The sequence below is a fragment of the Homo sapiens genome, chromosome 4, assembly GCF_000001405.40.
Source record: "Homo sapiens chromosome 4, GRCh38.p14 Primary Assembly".
NCBI classification, from domain to species: Eukaryota; Metazoa; Chordata; class Mammalia; order Primates; family Hominidae; genus Homo; species Homo sapiens.
In genome coordinates this window covers 56,002,375-56,024,471 of record NC_000004.12, presented here as the reverse complement: position 1 = coordinate 56,024,471, position 22,097 = coordinate 56,002,375, and the positions used below count along the sequence as shown (strand labels likewise).

At 37.7% G+C, this 22,097-nt stretch overlaps 1 protein-coding gene across 4 annotated transcripts in view; it reads right to left on the bottom strand.

Annotated features, from left to right (window-relative positions):
• Positions 1 to 22,097, bottom strand: part of CEP135 (centrosomal protein 135) — an 84,417-nt gene that overhangs the window by 8,890 nt on the left and 53,430 nt on the right. For all 4 annotated transcript variants that reach the window (NM_025009.5, XM_006714055.4, XM_005265788.5 and 1 more), the window contains 7 exons: positions 16,090 to 16,145; positions 14,569 to 14,737; positions 12,950 to 13,060; positions 12,487 to 12,672; positions 6,615 to 6,824; positions 4,917 to 5,119; positions 3,692 to 3,796 (listed from right to left, as the gene is read on the bottom strand). In NM_025009.5, coding sequence (NP_079285.2) covers positions 3,692 to 3,796; positions 4,917 to 5,119; positions 6,615 to 6,824; positions 12,487 to 12,672; positions 12,950 to 13,060; positions 14,569 to 14,737; positions 16,090 to 16,145 — 1,040 coding nt within the window. The remainder of the gene's footprint in view (positions 1 to 3,691; positions 3,797 to 4,916; positions 5,120 to 6,614; positions 6,825 to 12,486; positions 12,673 to 12,949; positions 13,061 to 14,568; positions 14,738 to 16,089; positions 16,146 to 22,097) is intronic.

Genomic DNA, 22,097 nt, shown 5'->3' with positions numbered 1-22,097 from the left:
TATTCAAGCACCAGGGAAAATCAAAAAGTGGCAAACAAATATAAGAGTTATTAGCTAATTTGTAATAAATTACTTAGTATTACTATTAAATTTAAATCCTATGTCTTTGTACAATTTTTAAGTAGTGGATAAAATATTTCAATTAAAAAATTAAATATATATATATAGTGAGGAGCATCTTGCTTCTAAGGTATTATTTTAATGACCTAATTGCTTTGAACAATCTCTTATAGTGCATATTCTTTTAATGGAAATCTTTTATCCGCTACTTAAAAATCATACAAAGACATAGGATTTAAATTTAATAGTAATACTGATATACTAATTATACTAATTATATATATACTAATATACTATATACTATACCATATAACTAATACTAATATACTAATTATATAATATATAATATATGTAACATATATTATAAAATATACAATATATAACATATAATATGTAAAATACATATTATAAATATATAACATACAATATATTATATAATATTTATAATTGCTTTGAACAATCTTATAGTACATTTTAATTAAAATCTTTTATCCACTACTTATAATATATATTATATATATTACATTATATATCATATATTATATAATATATAAGTACTATATATTATATGTCTATATATGTATTATATAATGCATTATATATTATGTAATATATAAATATACTATATAAAATACAATATACTATATATAATATACTATATATGATATACTATATATGATACAATATATATTACATATAATATACAGTATATTATATATATATTATGTGATATATATTATATTAGTATATTATATATTATATGTATTATATATTACATATTACTATGTTATATTAATTATAATACATATTATATATAGTGAAAATAAATAGGATACCAACTGAACACACAGATAGACACACACAAAAACTAGATGACGAGATGTTAAACTCAAAAAGGCTAATGGTGACTATGGAGGGTAGAACTTACAGATAAATTTAATTTTCTTCTTTATACTTAAAAAAATTATAACAAACCTGTTTAATGTGTTCTTAAAAATTAAATGCCCAGATGCTAGACCCTTCTGTGGGATTTGGTTCTACTAACCACCCTTAGCTTGCATGACACTACATCTTCTGGTTCTCTTTCTACCTAGATGATCTCTCCTTAGCTCTGTTACTGGATCCTTTTCTCCTGCCTATACTTTGATGTTCCCCATAGCTAGGGTTACTAATTCTCTCTTTTTTTTTTTGTGACAGGGACTTGCTCTATTGCCCAGACTCAAGTGCAGTGGTACAATCATATCTCAAACTCCTGGGCTCAAGCGATCCTCCCGCCTCATCCTCCTGAGGAGCTGGGACTACAGGTGCACACTTTCATGGCCAGCTAATTTTTAAAATGTTTTTAGAGATAGGGGTCATACTATGTTGCCCAGGCTGGTCTTGAACTCCTGGCCTCAAGCGATCCTCCTGCCTCAGCCTCCTGAGGAGCTGGGACTACAGCTGTGCACCTTCATGCCCAGCTAATTTTTAGAATGTTTTTAGAGCTAGGGGTCACACTATATTGCCCAGGCTGGTCTTAAATTCCTGGCCTCAAGTGATCCTCCTGCCTCAGCCTCCCAAAGTGCTGGGATTACAGGCACGAACCACCATGCCAGGCCTACCATATCGTCTTGCACATATATCTAGCCCTCTTCCGTCTTCCTGTCTCAAAACTCCCAAAAGTCAGATTGGAAAGAATCCTATTTTCTCCATCATACTTTCCTTCCCTGTGTCTGGGTATGTCCCCACCAAGAATGGGGATTATGTTGCCATCTCCTTTGTGGGCTATTCATAGTCTCTGGCCTAGACTCTTAAAGAACTTGAGTTCTTCAGTACCTGAGATTTCTAATTAGTTCAGTGCTTCTCAAGATTTCTTCAGTACTACTCTCCCAAAGGAACTTTTCTAGACTTTTTCCTCCCCAGATTATCCCTCCATCCCATGAAATTTTAATACACTGCTTATGTCCTGTGGCCCTTTGGAGGGACATAAACCATTCTACTAACTTATACAACCTAAAATTTTTTTGCTACCTCTATTCCCTACCCCCAAGAAACAATTTTTTCCCTTGGAGGATGGTGGGTAATACTGCACCGATGAGAATGTATGATGTAGGTGGATAGTAAAGAGCAAGAAAGACATGGTCATGAGGCTCAAGGTTTCGTTGAGGCAAGGAACAAGGGGAGGAACTGTGGGGAAGTCTATAAGCCTGGGCAATAGAGAGCTTGATTTAGGACTTTTGATTTGCAGAGAATTTAAGTTATCCTTAAGAAATGGAAATCATTATATATGTACAGTTTAGTACATTCAGAAACTAGATCTTCTAAATTACAAGAAATTATCAATCCTGCTTTCATGTCACTGCTGCTACCTACGGCTTACTTTTTTGTTGGTTTGTTTGTTTTTTGAGACAGGGTTTCACTGTTACTCAGGCTGGAGGGCAGTGGCACGATCACAGCTCATTGCAGCCTCAACCTCCTGAGCTCAATCAATCCTCCCACTTCGGCTTCCTGAGTAGCTGGGACTACAGGCACCCATCACCATGCCCCAGCTAATTTTCAAAAATTTTTTTGTAGAGATGGTGTTTTGCCATGTTGCTCACGCTGATTTCAAACTCGTGGGCTCAAGTAAATCCACCTGCCTTGGCCTCCCAAAGTGCTGGGATTGCAGGCATGAGCCACCAAGCCAGGCCTTTATGAAATCGTAAATATTGATTTCATAGCAAATTGTCACTATACTTCAAATAGCACATCACTACAAAGTTTTGACGTAAATAGGTAAGAATAACTCAAAAACTGATCTAACAAGCAATTTGGCCACTAATTGAGAATGAAATCTCAGGAATGCAGATGTCTATGGTATTAATATAGTAGGAAAGAGTAATGGAAGACAAGTAACTTGGCAACTGATTTTCAAGTTAGACTTCGATTTAAAGCAGGTCTCAATCCGGGTTAGTAACACCTGGGGATTAAATTTTTCAACGTAAAGCAAATGAACCAAAATATGAGTGAATATGAAAATTACCAAGCTGTAGGGAATACATTGAAGAGGTTAAGGGTACAGGTTTTAGAATTAAAATCTGTTTGGTTTCCTACCACTTACTATTTATGTGATCTCAGTTTCCTATAAGGTAGGCATAATAATAGATTGTTGGTGGGATTCATCAGACACTTATATAGTGTCTGGTCCACATTTGTTAACTGCTGTTACTATCTTCAAATCATTACCTTTATTATGATTTGTATGTGGAACATCCTACTTGAACCATACATTTTGGAGCTCTTATAGGGATTGTTGTTGCTTCTCTATACTCTTTGAAATACTTTTGGATTCTAATTTTGTCCTGCGGAATGCTATAGGAAATATTTATCCAATACTTCCTATTTTACCTTATTTTTCAGATTATTAAACAATTTTATTCAATAAATATTTATATAGCATCCGCTATGTAATACTTGCTATTTTAGTTACTGTAGAGCTATTATCTTCCCCAACACTTGTTGCCTTTTTTAAAAGGAAGAATTACCAAAGAAATGTACTTTATGTATTAGCTTTTTAAAAAGTTTGTTATTTGTAAAGCCATATTAAATACTTTCTGAAGTACAATAGAGAACACATAAAAACATTGTCAAATGTAAAAAAAATTTGTCTTACCGTTCGTATCTTTCAGTTGAGATCTGCCTTTTCAGAGCATCATAATCTGTTTGTAACTGTGCCACTTTAGCTCGAAGCATGGTGTTTTCCCGGCTTTGACTAGTTCTTAAAAACAAATTAAAAAATCAAGAAATAAACGTTCCGTTTTGTAGAGTCAGGTGCTGTGGGTTTTTTAAATTAATAAAGAGAAGATCAAGACCTTTCAACAAGAATTCTCTAAACTTCTAGAGCTTTTATCACATTTTCTTTTTCATTCATTTAGTTTATTTATGAAACATGTACTGAACATCTATTATGTGCTAAGCACTAAAGCAATGCTAGGGATACAAATTTGAACGAGACATAAATGGTAACACCAAGATGTAAAGTGTCTTCATTGGCTCTTTCTTGACTCTTGCCTTGGAAAGAGAAATATTAATATTTTTAATACCTTTCAAAAGCTCATTCTTCCATGTGTACTCTACTCTGGGTTTCTTTCCCTCTTCCTACAAATATGTCTAAATCCTTCTATTCTAAAAATATGACATAATCAGTCTCTCCCAAAGTAATCAATACATGTATGTGGGTCAAATCTCATAGCCTTTTTAGAGTCCTTTTTCCTAATCTACAGCATAAGACACAGCCACCTCTTCTTCTCCCGAGAACACTTTCTCCTTCACTGACTCCTCTGTCCATTCCTCAACTGTAGGCGCTTTCCTAACGTTTTCTCTTCTCATTACTCCCACGGTACAACCTCTGTAGTGAAGATATACAGGTCTGCACCTCCCAACACGATGTTTCTCCCGAGTCAGTCTCCTAAATTTCCAAAAGCAGCAGATGTATAAGCCAAATATTTTGGTTTTGGGACAGCGTCTCGCTCTGTCGCCCAGGATGGAGTGCAGTGGTGCAATCTCGGCTCACTGCAACCTCCACCTCCTGGGTTCAAGTGATTCTCACGCTTCAGCCTCCTGAGTAGCTGGGACTATAGGTGTGTGCCACCACGCCTGGCTTTTTTTTTTTGTATTTTTAGTATAGACGGGGTTTCGCCATCTTGCCCAGGCTAGTCTCAAACTCCTGAGCTCAGGCAATCTACCCGCCTTGGCCTCCCAAAGTGCTGGGATTACAGGTGTGAGCCACTGCACCTGGCCTATCTTTCATACTCTTAACCTTTCCTCCACTTCAAAAAAATTAAAAAACTATCCTTCACAAGCAATTGTCTTTGCATAAGTTGACTTAAGACACTTACAATTTGCTTTCAGAAAGGGTTAACTTCTCCTTAAGTAGCTGGATTTCTGTATCCTTCTCGTGGGAGGTTAAGTGAGAATGAAATTCTTTATCTCTGTTTGTAGCCAACAATGATTCGAGGTTTTTAACTGTATGTCTCTCATTTGAAAGTTGTTTTTTCAGTAGGTCTGACTCTGACTTTACATTTTCTAATTCCACCACAACCTACGTGAAAAACAAAGTAAGATTACTTCAGTACAATTTTAAACTTACTCTGAAAAAATTATTTATCTGACAATATAGCTCTGTGGAACTATTCACCTATCACTTGTTTCATTTTGGGTATGGGTTAAAGATTATGAACTGTTTCTTTAAGTATAAGAAAGACACTTTATTTTCAAAATAATCTTTGCTATTTTTACTATGGGCTTATTTGGCTATAGGATCTACTCAAATCCTCAAATAATTTTTAGTCATGGTACCTTATCAAGAGACGGTCATTAAGATAAAACCACAAGGGCAATGAGACCCTTCTGGTTGAATATGCTTACTCTGACTACATAATCAAGCCAGTATTATAGTTTCTCAGTACCTGAAAATAAAGATACTACTAGATGAGTGAAAATTGAAAACATCCATGTTTGAAAACAAACACTAGGTTATTTAAAGTAATGCCTCCATCTGGGAAAGGTAAATTCTAGCTAAATAGACTTGTTTAATTAAGATTTAAACACCTTGAGATTTTTATCGGGAAAAATATTCTACTTCGGAAGCACTGAACTGTTCAATCCTTCATTCAAGTCTTACTTTTTTTTTTTGAGACAAGGTCTCACTCTGTTGCCCAAGCTGGAGTGCAGTGGCACAATCTCTGCTTACTGCGGCCTCGACATCCTGGGCTCAAGTGAACCTTCCCTGCCTCAGCCTCCCGAGTAGCTGGGACTATAGGCACATGCCACATGCCTGACTAATTCTTTGTATTTTTTGTAGAGACGGGGTTTTGCCATGCTATCCAGGCTGGTTTCAAACTCCTGAGCTCAAGCAATCTGCCTGACTCGACTTCCCAAAGTGTTGGGATTACGGGTGTAAGCTATCGTACCTGGCCTCAAGTCTTACTTTTAAACAGAGAAAGAATGTATTAGGATATGCTGATTTATAATCAGAAAATTCATAATCTCCTAGATAGCCATCTATTCCAAAACATTACCCACTTTCATCACTACGTTTGCCTGAGAAATCTTGCAAAGAATCAAGCAGTCAAATCTGGTTGTCAAAATCCTGTAGTCAAAAGTAACTATTGTAGGCTGGGTGCAGTAGCTCATGCCTGTATCCCAGAACTTTGGGAGGCCAAGGCAGGCAGATCACGTGAGGTTGGGAGTTTGAGACCAGCCCGGCCAACATGGTGAAACCCCATCTCTACTAAAAATACAAAAATTAGCCAGGTGTGTTAGCAGATGCCTGCAATCCCAGTTACTCAGGATGCTGAGGCATCCTGAGATGCCTGAGGGAGAATTGGTTGAACCCAGGAGGCGGAAGTTGTGGTGAGTTGAGATCGCACCACTGAACTCCACCAGCCTAAGCGACAGAGCAAAACTCCATCACAAAAAAAAAAGTAACTACTCTAAAAGGAAACAAGTATATGCATGGTGTGGTGAATACTAAAGTAAAATAATTAGAGTAGGGCTCAATAAAACAATGTGCCAAGACAATTTATCTTTCTTACCCTCTCAAACTCAAGGTTTTTCGAATTCAATTGCTGGGTCATAATATCTTTGCCTGAATCAAGTTTAATGCAAAGTTCTCTAAGAGATGACAAGTCATTTAATACTGTTGCTTTCTCATCTTCTTGATGTCTCAGCTCTTCTTCTAATCGAGACATGGCTTTTGCCATTGATGAGATCTGAGATTCATAAGCATGATGGGCATTTATGTGCTGAAAAAAGAAAAAGAAACAAGTAAAAAGTTAAAATAACCCAATAATTTTAAGAACTTGAATTTGTACAGCCAACAATCTCACTTTAGAAAAATATGACAGCCAATTTTTGCTTATTTTAAAATACTCTCAGGAAGCTGCCTACTATTTAAAGATGACCTATTTAATGCTTAACAAAATGAATTGTGTATAATTATTAATCATGGTAACTGAGTATCTCATGTATATATTTATATATTTGGAAATGTAAAAAAGAAAGTTATTGTATCAGGGTGTTGTGAATATGAGGGATTTTTGAGGTTGCATTAAATTTTTCCTTTAAAAATTATCTTTGTTATAATAATGTCATTTCAAGAAAAAGTAATATATATACATATCACTCCTCAACTGTCTTCAGTTAAATTCTAAATTCCAAAAATGGGGTTTACTTCAAAACTATATACCTGGATAATTTAAATTTAACTTAAATAAATAGTAAACAACTTTAATATTTTAATAACTGAAATAATGAAAAAAATTTCAAATAATGATAAATTTTTTTTTCTAGAAGAATCCACAGTTGAAATTTCTCACAATTTGAATTATGAGTAATAAATACAAACTGATATAAACTCTACTTCTAGGTTTTGGGGAGAATTCTGCATTGAAAAATAAAATTATTGCAAGAGGCTATTAAAACGGCTGGGTGGCTCACGTCTGCAACCCCAACACTCTGGGAGGCTGAGGTGGGAGGATCACTTGAGCCCAGGAGTCTGAGACCAGTCCGGGAAACATAGTGAGAACCTGTCTCTACCAAAAAATACAAAAATTAGCTGTGTGGTGGCACATGCCTATAGTCCTTGCTACTTGGGAGGCTGAGGCGGGAGATCACCTGAGCCCACGAGTTCAAGGCTGCAGTGAACTGTGGTTAAGCCATTCCACTCCAGCCTGGCCGATGGTGCAAGACCCTGACTCTTAAAAAAAAAACTCCACAAATCCACATTGAAAATCTAATATTGTGCTGTGAAGATTTAATCAATTTCAAAAATTGCAGAAAAGTATTTAGATTTTTTAGTGCATTAATAAAAGCTCCCCTAAACAAATATAATACTTTAGTATTGTATTGTGAAATTGGCTTATACTTTAGTAACAGCCAATTTCATATACCACATACGAACATGAACAATAATAAAGAACAAAATAATTGAAGATTAGTTGAGAACAGTTGCTGAAAAACTCTTTTGAAGGTTGAAAGGCACTCCTTTAATTAGTTATTATACCCTTCTTAACAGAAAAACTTTTAGAGATAGTGTATTAGTTCCCTAGGGCTGCCATAACCAACTACCACAAATTAGGTGTTTTAAAAAAACAAAAATTCATCCTTTCACAGTTCTGGAGGCTGGAAGTCCAAAATGTGGGTGTTAGCAGGGCTGGTTCTTCCAGAGCTTCTATGGGAGAATCTGTCCCATGCCTCTCTCCTAGCTTCTGGTGGATGCTGCCAGTGCTTGGTGTTCACTCACTTGCAGACATATCACTCCAATCTCTGCCTCCATCTTCACACAGCCTTCTCTGTACGTACTGTATCTAAATTTCCCTCATCTTTGAAGGACACCCATCATTCACTAGGTTAGGGCCTGCCTTAATCCAGCACAACCTCATCTTAACTTGTTCACATTTGCAAAAACCCTGTTTCCAAATAAGGTCATGTTGACAGATACTGGGGATTAGGATTTCAACGTATCTTTCTGGTGGACACAATTCTCCTACCCTCTGATCCCCCAAAATTCATGTCCTTCCCATATACAAAACACATTCACTCCATCCTAACATTCTAGCATCAACTCTAAACCCAAAATCTCATCTAAGCATCATCTGAATCACATATGGGTGAGACTCTGAATATGGACCACACTGGGACAAAATTCTCCTCCATCTACAGACCTATGACACTGGAAAACAAGTAAACTGCTTCCAAAATAAAATGGTGGGATAGGCATACCATAGAAGTCCCACTGTAAAAGGGAGAAAATAAAAGGAATAAAGGAGTTACTAGTCCAAAGTAAGTCTGCAACCAAGCAGGCTGAATCCATTAGATTTCAAAACCCAAAAATAATCATTTGTGCCTTCATTCTCTGGTGCTCTGTTCTCTGAGCCAGCCAGGGGGGCCCCACCCTGTGTCCCACAGGGGCAGTGGCCTTGCCCTCTGAAACCAAGCAGACAGACAGTAGCTCCATCATCTGGACCTGTGATGTCTGGGCTTGTGGTGGTAGCCACAGCCCCACCAGCCTCTGAGTTGCCCTTGGTGGCCTTGCTGGTCTCTGAGCTACCCTTAAGAGTCATTCTGTCCTTTTCTTGAAGGTGAACTTGCAGCCAACTAGCTCTGTTGGTCTGTCTTCTGCTAGTAGGATCCCAGAAGTCCAACAACCTTCCTTCTTTTCATCCCATTTCTGTTCCTTTCAGTCAAAGCTGGAAGTGATTCTGCTGAGATGATTGATTGGATTCATGAGTCACATATCTAATCTCTTCACCAAGAGGTTTTCTAGCCATACTCTGGAGCACACTATCTGGATAGGCTAAGAATTTTCCAAAATCATCAAGTCCTGGTTTATTTTTTTTTCCTTTTTTTTGAGACAAGGTCTTACTTTGTCACCCAGGCTGGAGTGCAGTGGCATGATCTCGGCTCACTGCAGCCTTGACCTCCTGGGCTCAGCCCCCCAAGTAGCTGGGACTACAGCCACGTGCCACCATGTTTGGCTAATTATTTGTATTTTTTGTAGAGATGGGGTTTTGCCATGTTGTCCAGGCTGGTCTTGAACTCCTGAGCGTAGTTTTTTGGTGGACACAGGTGGATTGCTTGAGCGATCTGCCTGCCCTGACCTTCCAAAGTACTAGGATTACAGGTGTCAGCTACCACACCTGGCTTCATGTCTTGCTTTCTTTTTTGCTTTTCAGTTCCTTGCTCCATTTCTCTCTTTCCTCTCATATTTTACTGTAAGTAACAAGGAGAAACCAGGATGTCTCTTCCGCACTTTGCTTGGAAATCTCCTCAGCTAAATATCCGAGTTCATCCCTTACAAATTCTACTTTTCTCCCAACAGTAGACCGTAACTTAGCCAAGTTCTCTGTCACTTTATAACAAGTAACATCTTTTCTCAACTCTGTCTGAGACATCACCAGAGGAAACATTCATATTTCTGGCAAAATCCATCCATGACAACATATGTATTCTGTAAATAATAGAAGTTTTCTTTACAGCTCTCATCTCTTCTGAGTCTTCATCACAATTGCCTTTCATGTCCCTATTTCTACCAATGATCTCTTCAAGGCAATCTGGGCTTTTTCTGTCAAGCACTTCAAAACTCTTTCAGTCTCTACTCATTACCCAATTCCAAAGCCACTTTCATATTTTCAGGTGTTTGTTGTAGCAGCAACCCACTTTCTGGTGCTATAATCTGTATTAGTTTCCTAGGGCAGCTGTAACAAATTGCCACAAATTGTGTGGCCTAAAAAAATAGAAATTATTCTCTCACAATTCGGTAAGCTGGAAGTCCAAAATTCAGGTGTTGGCAGGTTTGGTTCCTTCTGGAGATTCTGAAGCAGAATCTGTTCTTTGCCTCTCTCCTAGTTTCTGATGGCTACTGGCAGTCCTTGACACTCCTTGACTTCTACACATATCACTCTAATCTTTGCCTCCATCTTTACGTGGTGTTCTCTCCTGTGTTTTCTGTGTCCAAATATCCATTGTCCTATAAAGACATCAGTCCATTGGTCTTAGGGTCTAACCCTAATCCGCTATGACCTCATTTTAACTTGATTCCATCTGCAAAGACACTTTTTCCAAATAAGAGACTGGGGCTCAATATATCTTTCTGGAGGCTATAATTCTATCTGCTACAGATAGTCAATACTTTCTCCTGAAAGATAAAAATTATAAAACTATACAAACAAAACAAAACAAAAATGACAATAATGGCCAACTATTGTATATCAATCTAACCCAGGGTCCCTATATTTTAACTGAACTCAAATTTTTTATTATGAGATTTTTATCAGACTGTCTTTATGACAAAATCTTATTTAAATCCACATGCAAAAAAATGATGCTGGGCTCTTATATCATTTGTAAAAATTAACTCAAAATGAAACAAAGACCTGAATATATGAGCTAAAACTATAAAACTCTTATTAGAAAACATAGGGGAAAAGCTTTATGACATTGCAGTTAACAATAATTTCTTGGATATGACACCACAAGTATAGGCATCAAAGGAAAAAAAAAATTGGACTTCATTTAAATTGAAAACTTCTGTACATCAAAAACTGTTGAAAAGGCAACCCACACAATGGGAGAAAATATTTGCAAATCACGTATACACTAAGGTATTAATCTCCAGAATATGTAAAGAACTTCTACAACAACAATTTAAAACAATCTGATTAAAAAATGAACAAAGGATTTGAATAAGCATGTCTCCAAAGAAGATACACAAATCGTCAATAAACAAATGAAAAGATGCTCAACATCACTAACCATTAAGGAAATGCAAATCAGAACCACGAGATACCGCTCTATTCCCATTATGACGGCTCTTATAAAAAATAAAAAAATTACAAGTGTTGGCAAGGATATGGAGCAACTGGAACCCTCGTGCATTGCTGGTAGAAATGTAAAATGGTGTAGCACCTACGGAAAAACCACATGGCTATTCCTCAAAAAATTAAACACAGAATTATCATATGATCCAGTAATTCCACTTCTGGGTATATACCCAAAAGAACTGAAAGCAAGCACCCGAACAGATATATTTGTATACTCATGTTCATAGCAGCATTATTCACAACAGCCAAAAGGTAGAAACAAATCAAATGTCCATTGACAGAGGAATGGCTAAACAAAAATGTGGTACATACATACAATGAAATGTTATTCAGCCTTAAAAAAGGATGAAATTCTGACACATGCTACACAATATGGATGAACCTTGAGGTAAAGTAAACCTTAAGGCTAAGTGAAATCAGTCACAAAAGGACAAACATTGTGTGATTCCACTATATGAGGTATCTAGAGTAATCGAATTCATAGTGACAGAAAGCAGAATGACAAATAATGGTGATAGTTACACAACATTGTGAATGTACTAATGCCACAGAACTGTCTACTTAAAAATAGTTAAAATGGGAAATTTGATGTATGTATCTTTTACTACAAAAAAAAGTAATGGGCTTCTATGCAAATTATGAGAATGACAGAAATTTACCACTGAACTTGATTTTATCAATGTTTACGACCTCAGGTCAATAAAGTATCTTTGAGGCCGGGTGCGGTGGCTCATGCCTGTAATCCCAGCACTTTGGGAGGCTGAGGCAGGTGGATCACTCAAGGTCAGGAGTTCGAGAGCAGCCTGGCCAACACGGTGAAACCCCATCTCTACTAAAACTACAAAAAATTGGCCAGGTGTGGTGGCACACTCCTATAATCCCAGCTACTCAGGAGGCTGAGACAGAAGAATCGCTTGAACCCAGGAGGTGGGTGCAGTAAGCAAAGATCGTGCCATTGCACTCCAGCCTGGGCAACAGAGTCAGACTTCATCTCAAAAAAAATAAATAAATAAATAAATAAAGTATCTTTGAATGTTTTCTGTTTCACTAAATAACATCTTTACAAAACAAATAAATATATTACCTCTTGAATTTCTTTTTCTAATAGCTCCACTCTTTCTCGAAGATGTCTCCTCTCAGTGTCAATAGAAAGAAGTTCCAGTCGAACTGAGCTGCTTTCTCCCTCAGCTTGATGGGCTTTGACCTCCCAGTCTTCAGCACGGTTATGAAGCATCTGAAATCTATCTAACAAATCTTGATTTTCTTTTTCCTGGTTTAATCACAATAAAATTGTTTCTAAATTAGTAATTGTCACTTCCTGGAACACCTATGTCATAAACACATACACATACACAGCATTCTGTTCTAATTTAGGAAGCATTAGATATCTGTGCAGGTACCACACTAAAATCTATGGGAAAAATAGAAAAAGGCAGTAGACAAGATCTCTACTTTAAAATGTTTAATATCTAATTGTAGAGGCACATGAAAAAGTTAAAAAAAAAAAAAACCTCAGTCTTAAATCCAACCTAAATAATATTTTTCACCTTGGCAGCCATTAAGCTCTCCCATCGTGACACCTCTGTTATGTATTTATGAACTCTGCTCTTCATTTCTTCTTTTTCTTGCACTGCTGCTTCCAATTCCAATGAGATTTCCTACAAATCAGAAAATTAAAGACAATCTAAAATGAACACAACACCAAATAAATTTTATTTATATTCAAATAATTCCTTTGGAATTGGAGAATAAGATAGAGTAGGGCAAAAGGAAAACTGTTCCTAAGTGTTATTTTCACATATTTTTCCTGGCTGATCTTGCCTTTTAAAATATTTCAGACAGAGTCTCATTCTGTCGCCCAGACTGAAGTGCAATGGCGTGATCACAGCTCACTGCAGCCTCGACCTTCTGGGCTCAAGCAATCCTTCCACTTCAGCCCTCCGAGTAGCTGAGACCACAGGCACATGTCACCATACCAGCTAATTTTTTTTTTTAATTTTCTGAGATGAGGTCTCACTATGATGTCCAGCCTGGTCTCAAACTCCTGGGCTCAAGCAATCCTCCCACTTTGGTCTCCGAAAGTGCTGGGATTATAGGCGTGAGCTACCACGCCTGGTCTGATACTGACTTTTTAACCAAACTTTATCACACATTTCCCATAATAGTCCTGATCATGTATCTGGCATTTACACTAAAGGCTAGCTATGGTCAGGGGTTGACATTAAAAAACATTCATATTTCATCAATATGCTTTATGCTGAATAATACGGAAAATAATTTTTTAAAAACGTAAGATGTTTAAAACAGTAAAATCACTGGTTTTCTCAGTACAATCTTTTAAGAAACCAGCACGAACAGAACTAACACCTTTCAGTACTTGCCATTCTAAAACACTCATTCATTTATCTACAGGTGTATTTTGGAGCCGACAGAAGCTTGCACAAATAATTAAAACCTATCCTGAGTCTTTAAAACACAGAAACTTTGCTCTGGGAGGGATGCTGATGTCCTCGCCCGGTAGGGTGACAATGATTTCTGACATACAGAATTTCATGCTCCCACCTTTAGGTTTCCTTGCAACAAAGACCAAAATGGTGAGAAGACCAGTTGCACCCATTAGACACCCTGTGATATATAGCAGCATTCTAAGCTATGTGTTTTTTTTTTGACAGAGTCTCACGCTGTTGCCCATTTTTTTTTTTTTTTTTTGGATGGAGTCTCACTCTGTTGCCCAGGCTGGAGTGCAGTGGCACGATCTCGGCTCACTGCAACCTCTGCCTCCAGGTTCAGGTGATTCTCCTGCCTCAGCCTTCCGAGCAGCTGGGATTACAGGCGCATGCCGCCAGGCCTGGCTAATTTTTGTATTTTTAGTAGAGATGGGGGTGGGGGGGGGGTTTTCACAATGTTGGCCAGGCTGGTCTCGAACTCCTGACCTCAAGTGATCCACCCACCTCAGCCTCTGAAAGTGCTAAGATTACAGGTGTGAGCCACTGCGCCCGGCCTAAGCTCCATTTTTTAATACCCTGATAAACACCATTGTCCTTAATGAATTATTTATGTCACTTATTTTTATATCATCAGATTTTAGAAAAAATATTTAGAGCTTTAATATTTAGCAAACAATGGAAAGTATAAAACTATCAAAATTTATGCCTTGTGTTCATACTTGATTTTCTCTTGCCATTGTAGCCAGGTCATCTTGCAGTCTTCTGTTTTCCTTAAAAGCGATTTCTCTAGATCTTCCTACTTCATCGAGTTCTTTGTGAGCTGCATCAAGCTGGCGCCGGAGGCTGTTTATCTCACGATCTCGATTAACCAATGTTTCTTTCAGCTGGCTGTTAAATGAGTGATGTGAAACTAATAAAGAAAACTTTTAAAAACTGTAGTTCATTTAAAAGAAAACTTATAGTCTAAGTATACTTAGAATACAAATATACTGTGATTATAAGAAATTATAACTGCTGCATTAAGAGACCTATTAATTAGGTAGAACAGGTATTTTAGAGCTCTACCAATAATTACATGCAAATGAAGTTAAAAAAAAATGTTATTCCAACAGTCAAGTAAACACAGAAAACTTTCAAGTGTTAAAAGTTGAATAGCTTGGGGGCTGGGCGCGGTGGCTCACGCCTGTAATCCCAGAACTTTGGGAGGCCGAGGCGGGCAGATCATGAGGTCAGGAGATAGAGACCATCCTGGCTAACACGGTGAAACCCCGTCTCTACTAAAAATACAAAAAAAAATAGCCGGGTGTGGTGGCGGGCACGTGTAGTCCAGCTACTTGGGAGGCTGAGGCAGGAAAATGGCGTGAACCCGGGAGGCAGAGCTTGCAATGAGCCGAGATCGCCCCACTGCACTCCAGCCTGGGCAACAGAGCGAGACTCCGTCTCAACAACAAAAAACAACAACAACAACAAAAACAGTTGAATAGCTTGAGCCCAGGAGTTCGAGACCAGCCTGGGCAATATAGGGAGACGTTGTTTCTACAAAAATTTTTTTTTAAATTAGCTGAGCGTGGTGGCACACGCCTGCAGTCTCAGCTACTCAGAAGGCTGAGGTGGGAGGATCACCTGAGCCTGGGGAGGGTGAGGTTGCCGTGAGCAGAGATCTCGCCACTACACTCCAGCCTGTGCGACAGAGTGAGACCTTGTCTCAAAAACAAACAAACAAAAAGTAAAGCATAGATTCAATTGGCAAATATTTATTAAATGTTTATAATCCCCACTATTATATAAAATGTTAAGGGTATGTAAAATAAATATAATAAGTGACTTTTTTCTTGAAGTGGCTTACAATCTGCCTAGAGAGACTATACATAAAATGTAAAATTTTGTGACAGTGCTCAAGATAGGTTTAGATGGAGAATAAATTCGAGATTGGCTACTAAAGTAATTTTAGGTTTTAATGATTAGGCTCCAAGTGGCATAATTATAGTAAAAATAAGGAACAAATAGGTATATAGGAGAATAGTTAATAAGACATAAGTGTTTAGATGTGGATGACAGAAAAGGAGAGGTTAAAGAAGATAACATTTTCAAGCTGGAGACTGAGAAAATGATGCTACCATTGACAAAAATGGGGAAATTGAAAGGGAAATTCTTCTATTGCTGCAATGCTACTGAATAGATAAAGCTGTATTCACTGAAAATCTCCTAAAAAGCTGGATGTAATTTCATTAATGACTTACTTCACAGATGATTCACACTCTGAGATCATTATCTTCATTTGAGCAACAGCTTTTTCCTATAGAAATTACAAAAATGTGTAAGATTTTAAACCAAAATGTCTTTAGCTAAATTTATGTAACTTGTCATATTCATATAGTTCAAATACACAGCTCAATTATATAAAGTATGCCTAAAACAAAGCTCCAAGTAAACATATCTCCATGTCCCAATCATACTTCACATACTGGCATGTTTTGACCAACCCTTGAATAGTTTTCTTGAGTTTGCTTTAATGAGATCTGATAAAATCACATTCTAGAAATAGACAAAATCACATTTTGAAGATTAACATTATTTGAAAAAAATGACATTTAAACATTAGAAAATATGGCCCTAGGTCTTAGAAACTTCTACATGGCCAATAATAACTGCATATTTGGGAAACTTCTGGGTCTAAAATGGTGGTGTAGTCACAAGCTGACTTCAATCCTGACAAAGAAAACCAAAAATAAATATACAATGCTAACATTATCATCAGCACTATCCCAGGACTCAAATATGAGGACGAGTCAGTTCCTGGGCCACAGAGACGTAAAAAACCTCTGAGCAGACAGTGACAGAATCGAATTTTCACACCTGTGATGCCCCTTCTCTCAATCTGGCTGGCACCAAGTACCTGGAAAATCTCCCCTAACTCATGGTTTCTACACCGGAAAAAGTGAGATTGAGGTGGACAATCAGCTTTTCTACTATCTTGGGTAATTTGGCAGGAGACCTGTTCCATGCCTCAACACACAGGAAACATCATGGATACCTGAAGGGAGACCTGTCCCTGAGGATACCCAGAGACTAAGTGGGGATGTAGGACTACCTCCTCATCCCTGGAAACTCTTCTCTATTACTCAGCCAAAGACACCCAATCAGAGTGGTAGTTCAGTAACAACATGCTGTAGGAGGTACATTCCACAGGTCCCCTGGGCACAAACCCTTAGCTAGCCCTTCCACACTGCTGGGACATCCCCTTTGGGACCTCCCCCATCCCAGATGGGCAGGGGTCTGAGCATTCACTAAAGCCAAGGCAAACTTGGGCTTTAGCCACCATCTAGTGACAAAAAGGAGGCAGTGACCTAGGAAAAAAAGTATAATGAAATTCAATAAAGTTTGAAGAATCTCTAAGCAAATGTAACCAATGAAAACCAAAACAAGCCAGGCTGGGTGTGGTGGTTCAGGCCTGTAATCCCAGCACTTTGGGAGGCTGAGGCAGGTGGATCACCTGAGATCAGGAGTTCGAGACCAGCCTGGCCAACATGGTGAAATGCCATCTCTACTAAAAATACAAAAATTAGCCAGGTGTGGTGTTGCGTGCCTGTAATTCCAGCTACTCGGGAGGCTGAGGCAGGAGAATAGCTTGAACTCAGGAGACGGAGGTTGCAGTGAGTTGAGATGATGCCACTGCACTCCAGTCTAGGTGACAGAGCAAGACTCTGTCTCAAAAAACAAAAACAAAAACAACAACAAAAAACAAGCCAGACAGAGAAGACTGGAGTAAATAACTAATCCTTCAAAGACACAGACATACATCTGCAAGAAACAACAGCAAACAGGGGACCATGAACTCTCCAAATGGACAAAGCAAGGAACCAGTGATTGATCCTGACAAGACAGTGACACCTGAGCTCTCTGGCCAAGAATTCAAAATTGAGGTATCAAGGAAATTCAGTGATCTCCAAGATAACACAGAAAATTCAGAAATGTATCAGAAAAAAATTTTTAATATATTTTTTTGAGACAGGGTCTCATTCTGTCGCCCAGGCTGGAGTGCAGTGGTGTAATCATGGCTCACTGCAGACTCAACCACCTAGGACTCAACGGATCCTCCTGCCTCAGCCTCCCATGTAGTTGGAACCACAGGTGCACATCACCACACTTGGCTCATATCAGAGAAATTTAACAAAGAGGTTGAAATAATAAAAAATGTCAAACAAATCTTAGAATTGAGAAATACATTTCCTGAGCTGAAAAATTCATTGGAGGATCTCAACAGGAGAATGGATCAAGCAAAGGCAAGAATCAGTGAGCTTGAAGACAAGCTATTTGAAATTACGCAGTCAAAGGAGAACAACAACAACAAAAGAATAAAAAGGAACAAAAATTGCCTACAAGATATAGAAAAATACAAAACCTAAGGATTACTGGTGTTCAAGAGGGAGTTGAGCAAGATGAAGGGGTAGAAAGCTTACTCAAAGAAATAATAACAGAACACTTTCCAAAACTTGAGAAAGATAAATTTCCTGGTGTACGAAGGTCAGAGAACACCAAAGAGATTCAACCCCAAAAAGACTGCCCCAAGGCATATAATAAACTCTCCAAGGTCAAGGACAAAGATAGGATCCTAAAAGCAAGAAGAGAAAAGCAAATAACATATAAAGGAACTCCAATTCATCTAGAAACAGACTTCTCAAAAGAAACCATACAGGCCAAGAGGAAGTAGACTATCATTTTCAAAGTACTAAAAGAAAAAAACTGCCATACAAGAATATGTCATCCAAAAAAAGTGCCCTTCAAATATGAAGATATAAAGTCCTTCCCAGATAAACAAAAGCTAAGAGAATTCACCACGAACAGGCATATCTTAAAAGAAATGCTAAGGGAGTTTTTCAATTTGAAAGAAAAAAACTAACGTGCAAAAAGAAAACATTTGAAGGTATAAAACCCACTGGTAAAATTAAATACAGAGACAAACCCAGAATACTGTGATACTGTAGTTGTGGTATACAATCCACTTATAATTCTAGTATGAAGCCTAAAAATCTAATCTATCAAAAACAATAATAGCTACAGCAACCTGTTAAGAGATAGGCAATATACAAATCTGTAAATTAAGACAACCACAAGTCAAAATGCGAGGGAGATAAAGAGTAGAATTTTTTTTTAGTTATGTCTTTGTGGGTTTTTTGTTTTGTTTGTTTGTTTTTTAGAGACTGGGTCTTGTTCTGTCACCCAGACTTGAAGTGTAATGGTATGATCATAGCTCATTACAGCCTTAAACTCCTGGGCTCAAGTGATCCTCCTGCCTCAGGCTCCTGAATATCTGGGACTACAGGTACCACCATGCTGAGCTAATTTTTTTATTTTTGTAGAGATGGGGTCTCACTACGTTAAACTTGTGGCCTCAAGCAATCCTCTGATCTTTGTCTCCCAAAGTGTTGGGATTACAGGTGTGAGCCAATATGCCTGGTCTTCTTTGTTTTTATTGTGTGTGTGTAACCTAAGGTAAGTTGTCAGTTCTTTAAAATAACTTAGAAAGATACGTTTTGTAAGCTTCATGGTAACCACAGTGTAAAAAGCTATAAAAAGCAATTAATTAAAACATACTACCAGAGAAAATCACTTAACCACGAAGGATGACAATAAAAAGGGAAGAAAGAGAAGAGTTATAAAACAACTAGAAAAGAAGCAAAAAAAAAAAAAAAAAATGGCAGCATTAAGTCCTTACATATCAATTACAACACTGAACTAACTCCATTCTCCAATTAAAAGACTGAGTGTCTGAATGGTTAAAAATAAGACCCAACTATATACTGCCTACAGGAAACCCACTTCACCTATAAAGACACAAATAAGACTGAAAGTGAATGGATGGAAAAAGATATTCCATGCAAGCAAAAAACAGAAGGAGTAGCTTTACTTATATCAGATAAAGTAGCCTACAAGTCAAAGACTATAAAGAGACAACAAAGGTCACTATATAGAATTATAAAGGGGTCAATACAGAAAGAGAGTATAATAATTATACATATTTATGCACCCAACACCAGGTTCCCAGGTATATAAAGCAAACATTAATAGATCTAAAAAGAGAGACACACTGCAATACGATAATGGTAGGGGACTTCACCACCCCACTATCAGTAATGGACAGATCATGTTGACATAAAATCAACAAAGAAACATTGGAGTTAATCTATACACTAGACAAATATGCCCAACTGACATTTACAGAACATTTCACCCAACTGCTGCAGAATAAATTCCTTTTATCAGCACATGGAACGTTCTACAGAATAGACCATAGTTCATGCCACAAAACAAGTTTCAACACATTCAAGAAAGTAGAAAGCATATCAAGTATCTTTTCTGAATAAAACAGAATAAAACTAGAAATCAATAAGAGAAACGCTGGAAACTACACAAACACATGGAAATTAAACAACAGTTGCTCTCGAATGACCAATGGGTCAATGAAGAAATTAAAAAGGCAATTAAAAAAATTCTTGAAACAAATGAAAAGGGAAATATAATGTACCAAAATCTGTGAAATACAGCAAAAACAGTGCTAAGAGGGAAGTTTATAGCAATAAATGTCTGTATCAAAAAAGTTGAGGCTGAGCATGGTGGCTCATGCCTGTAATCCCAGCACTTGGGGAGGCTGAGCCAGAGGACTGCTTGAGACTAGGAGTTGGAGACCAGCCTGGGAAACATGGTAAGACACCGTCTCTACAAAAAAATTAAAAATTAGCTGGGCATGGTAGTACACGTCTGTAGTACCAGCTAATTGGGAGGCTGAGGTAGGAGGATTGCTTGTGTCTGAAAGGTCAAGGCTGCAATGAGCCATGATCTTGCTACTGCACTTCAGCCTGGGCAATACAGTGAGACTCTGTCTCAAAAACAAAAAAAAAAACAAAACAAAAAAAGATTTCAAATAAACAACCTAGTGATGATGTACCTCAACTAGAAAGACTTCGAATAAACAAACTAGTGATGATGTACCTCAACCAGAAACTAGAAAGGAACTAGAAAAGCAAGAACAAACCAAACTCCAAGTTAGTAGAAGGCCAGAAAGAATAAAGATCAGAGCAAAAATAAATGGAATTGAGATGAAAATATAAAAGATCAGCCAGGCACAGTGGCTCACACCTCTAATCCCAGCACTTTGGAAGGCCGAGGCGGGCGGATCAGTAGGTCAGGAGATTGAGACCATCCTGGCTAACATGGTGAAACCCCATCTCTACTAAAAATACAAAAAGAAATTAGACAGGTGTGGTGGTGGGCACCTACAGTCCCAGCTACTCGGGAGGCTGAGGCAGGAGAATGGCGTGAACCCGGGAGGCGGCATGAACCCGGGAGGCGGAGCTTGCAGTGAGCCAAGATCGTGCCACTGCACTCCACCCTGAGCGACAAAGCGAGACTCCGTCTCAAAAAAAAAGAAAATACAAAAGATCAATGAAATGAAAAGTTGGTTTTTAAAAAAGATAAACAAAAATCAACAAACCTTTAAGGTTGACTAATAAAAAAAGAGAGAAGACCCAATAAATAAAATCAGAAACAAAAAAGGGGACATAATTGTGACCACAGAAAATACAAGGAATCATGAAAGACAATTACAATCACATGTCAACAAATTGGAAAACCTAGAAGAAATGGAGAAATTCCTGGACACTTACAAGCTACCAAGTTTGAACCATGAAGAAATAGAAAACTTCAACAAACCAATAGCATGTAATAAGATAGAAGCTGTAATAAAGTCTTCCACAAAAGAAAAGTCCAGGACCTAATGGCTTCACTGCTGAACTCTACTGAACATCTAAAGAACTAATACCAATTCCTGCTCAAACTCTTCAAGGAAATTGAAAAGGGTGGAATACTTTCAAATTCATTCTACAAGGCCTGCATTATCTTGATACCAAAAACACAACAAAAAAAGAAAACTACAGGCCAATATCATTGATGCAAATATATGCAAAAATCCTCAACACAATACTAGCAAACTAAATTCAACAATATTTTTTAAATAAATTACAAAGATCATTCACCATGATCAAGTGGGATTCATCCCAAGGATGCAAGGATGGTTCAACATGCACAATCAATAAATGTGATACATTAACAGAAGCAAGAAGAGAAACCATATAAATCATTTCAATAGATGCTGAAAAAGCATTCAATAAGTTGCAACATCCCGTTTTTGTAAAAACCCTCAACAAAGGGTACAGAAAGAAAATACCTCAAAATAACAGAGGCCTAACCC